This window comes from Homo sapiens, chromosome 7, assembly GCF_000001405.40.
Source record: "Homo sapiens chromosome 7, GRCh38.p14 Primary Assembly".
In the NCBI taxonomy this organism is placed as follows: Eukaryota; Metazoa; Chordata; class Mammalia; order Primates; family Hominidae; genus Homo; species Homo sapiens.
In genome coordinates, this window is record NC_000007.14 from 46,644,711 (window position 1) to 46,656,288 (window position 11,578).

The 11,578-nt window shown below is 41.5% G+C and overlaps 1 annotated feature.

Moving 5' to 3' along the window:
* Positions 6,282-7,481: an enhancer, noted in NCBI's record as "P300/CBP strongly-dependent group 1 enhancer chr7:46690590-46691789 (GRCh37/hg19 assembly coordinates)". NCBI's record gives its function as "activates an origin of replication core promoter dependent on BRD2, BRD4, P300/CBP, MED14 and CDK7 cofactors, with strong dependence on P300/CBP, by STARR-seq in HCT116 cells {active_cell/tissue: HCT116}" and the evidence as "EXISTENCE:reporter gene assay evidence [ECO:0000049][PMID:35650434]".

Consider the following 11,578-nt stretch of genomic DNA (forward strand, 5'->3'; position numbering starts at 1 on the left):
TAATCTGCATGTTTATATATTTCGCAAAATTGATAAGTTTTTAGCCATTATTTCTTTGAGCACTTTTAATCCAATTTTCCCTTTCTTCTCTTTCCAGGACTTCAATGACAGGATATTTAGATATTTTGCTAGAATACTATAGAACCCTGAGTATCTGTCCATTTTTTTAGACTATTTTTTCTCTCTTGCTCAGAGTTGCTAATTTCTATGGCTCTATCTTCCGGATCATTGATTCCCTTTTCTGTTGTCCTTTCCATTCTGTTGATAAGTCCAGACGATGAGTTTGCTTTTTTATTTCATTTTACAGTGTTTTTCATTTCTAAAATCCAAACTGGTTCTTTTTCATAATTTCTATTTCTTTGCTGAGTTTTCTATTTTGTTTCAAGAATATAGTAATTATTCCTTGAAGTCTCTTCATGATGGCTGCTTTAAAATCTGTGTATCAGATATTTGCAGCATTTGTCATCTTGTGTCAGTGTCTTTTTAAATTCAAATTGGGATTTCCTTTGTTCTTATATGCATATTTTAAAAATGACAGCCTGGACATTGTATGTATTATTTTGTGATGATCTGGAACTTACTTAAATTTTCTGTTTTAATTGGCTTACTTAGACATTGCTGCAGCAGGGAAAAATAGTAGCATGGACTCATTAATGTCAGGGTAAGGTAGAAGTTCTGGCTCCCATCTAGTCTCTGCTGAGAGCACCCTGGTTGGGAGGAGCAGGGTGCCTTTGTACTGCTCCATACCTGATCTCCACTGATAGAAGTGGTGGGAAAGGACTCATTGCTTCTCAGCGGGGAAGAGTCCTGGCTCTCTACTCAGCCTTCTCTGACACCACAGGGGAGGCTCGAAGCACCTCTCTACCGCTGGGTAAAGGTGATGTTTCAGCTTCTCACTAGGCTTTTGCTGAAGAGCATGTAGCCACAATACTCTCAGTTGTGTTTGACTGGAGTAGAAAAGTTATTGACTAAAATATTTCTGTCTTATTAGGCTGCTGCTTTCTGGCCCTTTGACTACAGAGCCAGCTTTTGAGAAGCTTTTTTGATTGTGACTGTTGGTGTTTCTGGGTTACCAGCTTCTTCAGCTACAAGTCTGGGATATGTGTGGCTAAAAGAAAACCCAGAAAACCAGCCACTGTGTAATTCCTTGTATCTTGAGTTTCCTAGACAGTCTTCTTCTTTCCGTCTTTCAGAATATATATCTCAGTGCTTTCAGTTGCACTTAGCAGGAAGAATAGGGAAAAGTATGTCTACTTCATCTTCCTAGAGGTGGAAGTACTTCTGACTTGTTTTCTCACTTAGTTCCTTGCAGCTCTGAGCTTTACTGTCTCTTTGTCCTGCTACTGTACTTGACTATATTCTGGTTAGCTTGACAGTCACATTGGGTCAGTCTTAGGGTCTCAGCTTGAGGATGAGGCTATGTGATTAAACCTTCATCAAATTTTCTCTAGTTTTGGCTACAAGAAATGTCACATGCATGCACACACAAACACACACACACACACCCACACACACAGAGAGAGAGAGAGAGAGAGCCCTTCATTGTGTAGAGGAATGAATAGCTTTATGTAGGCTTACATTGCTCCTCCCTGCCTTTTCCATTCCTTCCTGCTAAGCTGACTAAAGCCATCCACCTGCAAGGAAAGAAATCTTGTTCTGACCTCCTACGAGTAAGTGTATTGTTCTTCAACCCAGGGTGCAGACCCTACAGAAAGTTTTTCCCAAATACCTACACCTCCACTCTACATCAAACTCACACATCATATTATCACTGTTTTCTTGTCTTTCTCTTGCACTGGAATGACAGCCACCTATTTAAAGGGTCTATATTTTGGAGTATTCATGACTTCAGGCATAATTCTGAGCCTCTAAACAGTGCTGAAAAACTTTGAAACTAAATCAGACACAAAGCAAGTTAGATACGGAATCAGTTTGAGGCATAGCCCTCTAATTGAGCTGGGATGAAGGCTGGTTATCTGTTGGCTGTCAGGCTTTGATCACATCCTAACGTTGAGGCTGTGTTGAATGACTGGAGGGTTTCTTCAGTTTGTGCCTGGCATGCTGATTTCTGTTGGAATTGTAGCTTTCCTTCAAAATCTTAGACTTGCTGGCTGGGGCCCTCAGGCTCTGTTGAGCCAGCTTATTTCTGCACCCACCATGAAGGTCTGGAGCAGAAATGGTTATTGTGTTGTAATGGCAGGGCACCAGCTGAGATGGACAGATGAGAAAGGGTGCCATCATCAATGAGTAGCATCAGCTGTGGGTGGGAGAGGAACAGAGGAAACAAGTTTGGGTTTGCCAAGGGGGTCTGGATTATATTTCCTGCTCCATGCCCTGGATGGGTTCTTGTGATGACCCAAAGAGATCAGGTGAACCACTGCTCCCCTAACCTGCCTCTGGAAACTTCAATTTCCTGAATACTGCAATTAATCTGACCCTCCCTAACCAAACCATCAGCTTTGGTCATATCTGAGGTCCCTTAGACTAGATGAGTGTTAGCCACCTGTAAATAGCTTCCCATGCCGTCGGGAAACTAGAAAAGACTACACAAATGTATTAGTCCATTTTCACACTGCTGATAAAGACATACCCAAGACTGAGTAATTTATAAAGAAAAAGAGGTTTAATCAACTCACAGTTCCACATGTTTGGGGTTGGGGGGCCTCATAATCATGACAGAAGGTGAAAGGCATGTGTTACATGGCAGCAGGCAGGAGACGATGAGAGCCAAGTGAAAGGGAAAACCCCTTATAAAACCATCAGATATCATGAGACTTTTTCACTACCATGAGAACAGTATGGGGGAATCCACCCCCATAATTCAGTTATCTCCCACCAGGTCCCTCCCACAACATGTGGAAATTATGGGAGCTACAATTCAAGATGAGATTTAGGTGGGGTCACACCCAGACCATATTATTCTGCCCCTGGCCCCTCCAAAATCTCATGTCCTCACATTTCAAAGCCAATCACACCTTCCCAACAGTCCCCCAACATCTTAACTCATTTCAGCATTAACTCAAAAGTTCATAGTACAATACAAAGTCTCATCTGAGACAAGGCAAGTCCCTTCTGTCTATAAGCCTGTAAAATCAAAAGCAAGTTAATTACTTTCTAGATACAATGGGATACAATGGTCTAGCTACAATGGCATTGGATAAATACACCCATTCCAAATGGGATAAATTAGCCAAAATAAAGGTGCTAAAGGCCCCATGCAAGTCTGAAATCCAGCAGGGCAATTAAATCTTAAAGCTCCGAAACAATCTCATTTGACTCCATGTCTCACATCCAGGTCACACTGATGCAAGAGGTGAGTTCCCATGGTCTTTGGCAGCTCCACCCTTGTGGATTTGCAGTGTACAGCCTCCCTCCTGGCTGCTTTCATGGGCTGGCACTGAGTGTCTGCAGCTTTTCCAGGTACATGGTGCAAGCTGTTGGTGGATCTACCATTCTGGTTCCTGGAGGACAGCGGTTCTCTTCTTATAGCTCCACTAGGCAGTGCCTGTGGGGACTCTGTGTGGGGGCTTCAACCCCACATTTCCCTTCTGCACTGCCCTAGCAGAGGTTCTCCATGAGGGCCCTGCCCCTGCAGCAAACTTCTACCTGGACATCCAGGCATTTCCATACATCAACTGAAATCTAGGCAAAGGTTCCCAGACATCAGTTCTTGACTTCTTTGCACCTACAGGCTCAACACCAAGTGGAAGCTGCCAAGGCTTGGGGCTTGGACTCTTTGAAGCCATGGTCTGAGTTGTACCGTGGCCATGGCTAGAGTGGTTGGTATGGAGGGCACCAAGTTCCTTGGCTGCACACAGCAGAAGGGCCCTGGACTGACCCACAGAACCAGTTTTTCCTCCTAGACCTCTGGGCCTGTGATGGGAGGGGCTGCTTCAAAGTTCTCTGATATGCCCTGTAGACATTTTCACCTTTGTCTTAGTGATTACCATTTGGCTCTTCATTACTTATGCAAATTTCTGCAGCCAGCTTGAATTTCTCCTTGGAAAATAGGTTTTTCTTTTCTATTGCATTGTCAGGCTGCAAATTTTATGAACCTTTATGCTCTGTTTCCCTTTTAAAACTGAATGCTTTCACCAGCACCTAAGTCATCTTTGAATGCTTTGTTGCTTAAAAATTTCTTCTGCCAGATACCCTAAGCCATCTCCCTCAAGTTCAAAGTTCCAGAACTGTCTAGGGCAGGGGCAAAATGCCACCAATCTCTTTGCTACAACATAGCAAAGGTCACCTTTACTCTAGTTCCCAACAATTTCCTCATCTCCATCTGAGACCACCTCAGCCTGGATTTCATGGTCCATATCATTATCAACATTTTGGTCAAAGCCATTCAACAAGTCTCTAGGGAGTTCCAAACTTTCCCACATTTTCCTGTCTTCTTCTGAGCAATCCAAGCTGTTCCAACCTCTGCCTGTTACCCAGTTCCAAAGTCACTTCCACATTTTTGGGTATCTTTACAGCAGCACCCCACTCTACTGGTACCAATTTAATGTATTAGTCCATTTTCACGCTGCTGATAAAGACAAACCTGAGACTGGGTAATTCATAAGGAATTTAAAGAGGTTTAATGTACTCACAGTTTTATGTGGCTGGGGAGGCCTCATGATCATCGCAGAAGGTGAAAGGTACATCTTACATGGCAGCAGGCAAGGGAGAATGAGAGGCAAGCAAAAAGGGAAACTCCTTGTATAACCATTAGATCTCATGAGAGTTATTCACTACCACGAGAGCAGTATGGGGGAACCACCCCCATGGTTCAGTTATCTCCCACAAGATCCTTCCCACAACACGTGAGAATTATGGGAACTATAATTCAAGATGATATTTGGGTGGGGACATAGCCAAACCATATCAACAAATAAGAGATGATTCTGGAAGTTAAGGACTGGAGTCCAGAATGGTTTGCCAGCACCACCTTAGACAACACAGCGTACCTGCAAGCCTTGGGTTTCTCATCTCCCAAATGAGGATGCTAAAAAGTAAGCCAAAAAAAAATCCCTACCTTCAAAGATTCTGGGAGTCTCACATGAAATGACAAATATGAAAATGCTTTTGCAATTCAAAAATGTTATACAAACATTGCCACTTTTTTCAATATCCTGAACATCCTGAATTGTTAAATAGATCCTTCTAGACACCAACTCTTAGGAATTCTATTTGAATCAGGACAGCCTTGCATGGGCCACCAGACTGCTTGTAAATGCAGAAGATATAATTGAAACTTCATAAAGACAACAGGAAATTTATTTGAAAGTGTTGAATTCACATTGCAGAATGATTTATGCACAGTTACGATTTATGCAGTTAGCTTCTCATGGCTGTATTTTTCCAAAGCTCTGATTAAAACACGATGCAATTCTGAGGTTAACCCCAATCCCTCCTCACTGTGGGTGGGTGAAATCCTTAGCTAAGTTCAATAGTAGAGACAAAACACTTTTCTTTTAAGATTTGGTTATGCTCTGTCTATATTTTTTTCTAAGTATTGCATCTGTTTTACCAGAAATTAGTACTTCCTTTTACAATGACTTTTGTGTGAATTACAGTGAATTCTTGAATTCAGTCTACAATTGCTCAATGTTCGGACATCACTGTTTTCACTGAAAATACTTCTCTAGCTCTAGCTATCACTGTTCCTAAGTTGTTATTGCACAGAGTTAAATAACACTGAGGAAGACATCTTCTTCTTATATGTGCACCCTGCAAATATCCCACAGACAGTGCTGAAGGTATTCCAAAAATTGGTTTCTTCATCAGAACAAATGCGGCAGCAGGAGAAGATGCATAGATAGCCTGGTTTTTACCAGAGCAGAATAATCCCCTAATTCAATGCCATCTGAAAGCAATATTTCTGTTTATTAATAGACATATAATTTATGCTTTCTGTTTTTTATTAAATATTTTTTCCTGGCTCAATAAAACTACTTTTTAAAAATAAATAATCAGAGAACAGAGAATTATTGAAAATTGAAAATATGATGGCTAAATAAAAAACTGAGCAGAATAATGAAACATACCAGAAGATAGAAGGAAAAGAAAGAGAGGAAGGAAGGAAGGAAGAAAATCAGAAAGGAGATAACACATCCAATCAACTGAAGGGGGGAAATAAAGAGAGAATATGATAAGTAAAATTTCCTTCGAGAGAAAGTGAGGTTGAAAATATTTTCTTTTATTTTTAATTAATTAATTATTTCTGTATCAAATAGTACAATTATTTGTATTTTCATGGTACTTTAATGATTTTTTTGAGACAAAGAAGGTTTTGGTAAACTTTTAAATATGTGTCATCATTCAAATTCAATGAAATAGAGGCCCAGGTTTCCAAACCAGTTAAAAATTTGAGCAAAAATATAAAATATGAATTTGGGAAAAAAATCCCCCTAAGAATAAAGATAGGGCTAGCTAAACACAGCATGTTGCCCTGTGGAAGTCTCTTTCACTGTTAGATGCTGTTGGGTAAATGCACCTGACAGCAATAACTTAAGCATACCCTTAGAATGACCCTGTGTGGTAGACACACCTGAGTGTTGTTCCAAGCTCGGGAATCCAGGAGTGGCCAATCTGGTGATTCATTCCTTGTCTATGAGGAACCTCTGAGCCCCTGGCATGTCCTGTGGAACACGGGCTGTATAGAAGATTGAGGATCTGAGTTTTGGTTGGGGGGGGGGGGTCAGTAAATGAAGGTTGTCAGGTGGAGGTCATTACAGGGAGGGTGTTAAGTGAAAATACTCCATAAACTGCATGCTGTTTTCAAGTGGTTGTGGTTGTCCTGCCCAGCCCACCACCACTGTGCTGTGCGTTTACGTTGTCCAGCCTGCTGTCACTGGATTGCTTCTGTCCATAAGGCGGTTCTCCTGCCCAGCCTGCCGCCACTGGACTCTCCCCCCTGTATGAAAGCCCCTAATAAAACCCCGTGTCTCATTTGCTGATTCTGAGTCTTTTCTTTGGCCTCTTGAACCTGGCGCCTTCCCTGCTGAGGTTGATAAGGGTTTGGCACAGCAATGCTCCAGGGACTGATTCATGAGGAAGGAAAGTGAGCTGTACCAGAGAGAACAAAATCCCAGGTGACCCCTCTCTGCCGTCTAGCGTCAAAGATTCCAGGTGATGTTTCCTGGTCCCACCTGCCTGTCTCACTTGCTCTACTCAAGCCTCATTTTCCACATATGCAAAATGGGAACAATAGTTTTGACCTGATTCTCTCAGGTGTGGGCATGATTCATGCAGAAAGTTGATTCATTTGCTGCGTGTTACAAACCGAGTAGGGATTTTCCAGCAAGGAAACAGTGACAGGGCATTTCTTCTTATGAGAACCAGGTATGTGAAGGCAGAGCTATATACCAGTGTTTCACAGATGATCCTACTTTAGCTTTTCAGCAACCTCGTAGCAGAGGTAGAATGTAGCATATCAGTAATGAACAGGCACTCCAGAGGTAGACTTGCCTGGATTGGACACATGGAGAATGGTGATGCCTACCCCAGGCTGAACTGAAAATCTGTTCTTAGAGATGGGGGATAGGCACCTAAGAAAGAAAGTGAGCAGACACTGAGGGAACTAGACCTTTACCCAGGCTCAAAGGAAAAAGAAACATTATTTCAGAAGAGACAAGCATTGTTGGCCAGGAAGAAACAAAATGAAACACTCCAGGCCACTCCACATATTCCTTAAGTGAAACCTGCTTGTCTGCTCACTCCATAAATTATTGGGCTGTCTGCTGTGAGCCCTGGCGTTTACATGTTCATGTATTACATGAACATACTTACCAACCTAACCCGTGGAAATATTACCAGCGGTGATGCAAATGGACCATCTGCCCTCACCAGACACATGAGAAAACCAACCACAAGAAAGGGGGCTGGGGGAACTCCTGGGACACTGAACTCAGAAAAAAACTAATATACTTTGGGGAGCAGGAGAAAACGCATTAAGCAGATTTAAGAAGATGTTGCAAGTATGAAACAAGAATGGCAGCTTTGAATGGCAGAACAAAGAGAAAAAAAGGTCTTAGACATTGTAAGAAATACAGTAAAAAAACAAGTGTGCATGCTCGATAGTCAGATGTTTACTTTGAACACTAAGTTGATTATTAACAAAACTCAGAACTCAAAGAAAAAGTTGGAAAACATGAGACAAAATAATAAAAAAGCATTGACCATATGTCTAAGAGTTAAACATACATCTAAAAGATCAGGTCAGGGATAATGAAGAAGAGGTAAAATATTGAAAAAAGTAAAAAACATATCTGGAAGCTAAAAAATAACATAAATGCTTTGAACAAGAGTCCTTTAATACTGTGTTGGGTGGTTGGATGAATTAGGAAAAGACCTTATTGGGCCCACCTAGAGCCAGTTGATGATTCCAAGTTAGCAAGAAGTTCTGAAAATCTTTCAGTATTAAAAGAATCATAATGAATACCAAGAAGTGGATGTTAGTGTAACATGAGAACTCCCTGAGAAAAATCCCATACAAATATCAGTGTGGCTTCACTTGTGGATTTTTGAGGGAGAATTGCCTGAAGAATTGAATTTTAGTGAGCATCTACATGATTCTCTTTCTGATCTCTTTCTGGAAATACTTACAATGTAGAAGCATAAGTTAGAAAATCAAAATGTTAAAGACAATAGAAAAAAGTTATATTGGCAGGGCACTGTGGCTCACGCCTGTAATCCCAGCACTTTGGGAGGCCGAGGCGGGCGGATCACGAGGTCGGGAGATTGGGACCATCCTGGCTAACATGGTGAAACCCCATCTCTACTAAATAATACAAAAAATTAGCCAGGCGTGGTGGCAGGCGCCTGTAGTCCCAGCTACTCGGGAGGCTGAGGCAGGAGAATGGCATGAACCCAGGAGGCAGAGTTTGCAGTGAGCTGAGAGTGCGCCACCACACTCCAGCCTGGGTGACAGAGCAAGACTCCATCTCAAGAAAAAAAAAAGTTATATTTGCATGAGTGAGCACACAGACAAACAATTGCTAATTTATTCATTTCCATTGAAACACTTTCTGAAGCTCTTAGGTACCCAAACAGATCGCCAGGACCTAAAGATGATGTAGAAATGGGGGAAATCCAATGCTTGCCCTTGCAAAAAAATCATTATTCAGTAAAAACAGGTTAAATACACAAATATCTATAATAATAAGCAGAATGAGTTGTCAGACAAGGGAAAAATGTATTTGTCAGTGTTCTTCAGAAAAAGAGAACCTGTAGGATATATGCGGAGATTTATTATGAGGAAGTGGCTCTTGAAACTACAGAGGCTGGGAAATTCCATGATCTGCACTCTGAGAGGTGTAGATCCCAGAAAGCTGGTGATGCAAATTAATCCAAGCCCAAAAGCCTGATTACCAGAGAAGCCAATGGTATAAATCCCAGTCTGAGGGCCAGGGAAGATGAGATGAGATGGGATGTTTCCGCTCATGCTGGCAGAAGAAAGAAGAGGCATATTCCTCTTTTCTTTGTCTTTTGTTCTACTCCAACCCTTCATGGATTGGGTAATGGCCAACCACATTGGGGTGAGCAATCTGTTTCGCTGAGTCCACAGATTCAAATTCTCATTCAACTCAGAAAAACCATAAAAAACACACACAGAAATAGCACTGTGCACCTCATGATCCAGTCAAGATGACATGTAGAATCAACCATCACAAGTTCAAACTTTGTCAACTTGGCACACAAATGCCTCACCTCAAATCATAATTAATCCTCAAATAAAAACAATAACAAGGTCACAATGCCACTGAACGTGATACACCTATCCTATGTACTACCAGTAATGCACTAACTCCTTCCCCAGAAGCAGAGGTAAAGCCCTGAGTGATGTTTATTCTTCTCCTTGGTATTCTATAACTTAAATTTTATAATGTAAATTAACAATATTTAAATACTACAATACGAAATAAATACATCTTATGTTACAAGGCAACAAGATAAGACAGAATAAAAGATACACATACATATGCATAAAAACATACTCAGAACAAAGTAAGGAGAAAGTGCTTGTGACAATTGCAGTCATGAGTCATTTTTCTGTAACTGGTCATGTGTTTGTAGCTGGTATTTATAACTACCTTCTTCCACTATCCATTCTGTATTCCCTTTGACTTTAGCAAGCACCTCAGCCAATTGTGGTTCTTTACCTGGTAGGATGACCCAAACCTTCATTCCTGAAGGGTCTGGGCCATTAGATGGCCTGAATATATTAGCTTTTTGTGGTTTTCCATTGACTTTAATCACAGGACATGGTAATATTAAGAGATGCTCTAAGTATTCCAGACATACTCTACCTCCACTAGGGAGTAGTAGTTCAGTGTCCCCTTGGTAATCTGGATCAGTCATGCCAGCCAACACAGTAAATTCTTGGCCTGTTGACTCAGAAGGGAGATCCCAAAGGTGGTGGATGGCACTCTTAACTTCCTGTTTAATGAAATCATGATTTTGTCTTCTGGTGGGAACATTTCTTTTTCCAGGATGAAGACTTCTAGGTCAGCAGAGCATAAAGTCATGGAAGCAGGAAGAAAACATTTTGCTAATGGGACACTAGGGGAAGTCATGAGTAGTGTCACTTCAATTTTGAACCTTGATTTCTGGACCTAAGAATTTTGGCTATCAGACAAACAGCACCAAATATTGGATGCTGATTCAGAACATAGTCTTCTGGAGAACACTGCCTCAACCCTCAAGGTATTATCACCTAGCTGGTCCTGTAACCAAGACTTCAAATGGCCATTCAACCATTCTATCAAGATGGCTACTTCAGGATAGTGGGGGATGTGGTAAGACTAGTGAGTTCCTGAACATGAGACCATTGCCACATTTCTTAAGCTATTAAGTGAGTTCCTTGATCAGAAGCAGTGCTGTATGGAAAAACATGATGGTGGAATAACATGAAGACAGGATTTTGCCCCAAAGTGCTAAAGCCCTAAAGACAGTTGAGGCATTCTGTGAGTCCACCAAAGGTAGTCTTGACAGAAACATTCAAGAAAAGCAAATCTATATCCGGAGTAAGTATATATTCCAGGAAGGACAAAACATTACCCCTTCCATCATGGAAGCTATCTAATATTATCAACCTGCCACCACCTAGCTGTCTCATGACCCCAGGAATGATGCTATGGGGCTGGGGGCTGAGAATCTGTTCTGGTCTCTGCTGCTGGCAGATTGGACACTCAGCAGTGGCCATAGCCACTTCAGCATCAATGAGTGGAGTCCCTGTTGCTGAGCCTATGCATAACCTTCATGCCTGCCACATGGCCAATATGTTCATGAGTCCATTGGTTAATAACAAGGTTGGCTTAGAAAAGAGGCTAACTGGTATCCAAAATATGTCATCCTATCCACTTTATTATTAAAATCCTCCTCTGCTAAGGTCACCATTTGATGAGCATTCTCATGAGACACAAATATCTTCCCACTTTTTCTCCATTCAGGGAAAAACTGTCCTCAAACTTCTCTGTGACATTTTCCAATCGTGCTCCTTCCAAGTCTCTGACCATTAGGCCAAAGCATTAGACATCAACTGGTATATAATTGTATGTCTAGCCACTTCTCCTTCCAAACAAAATGGACAATT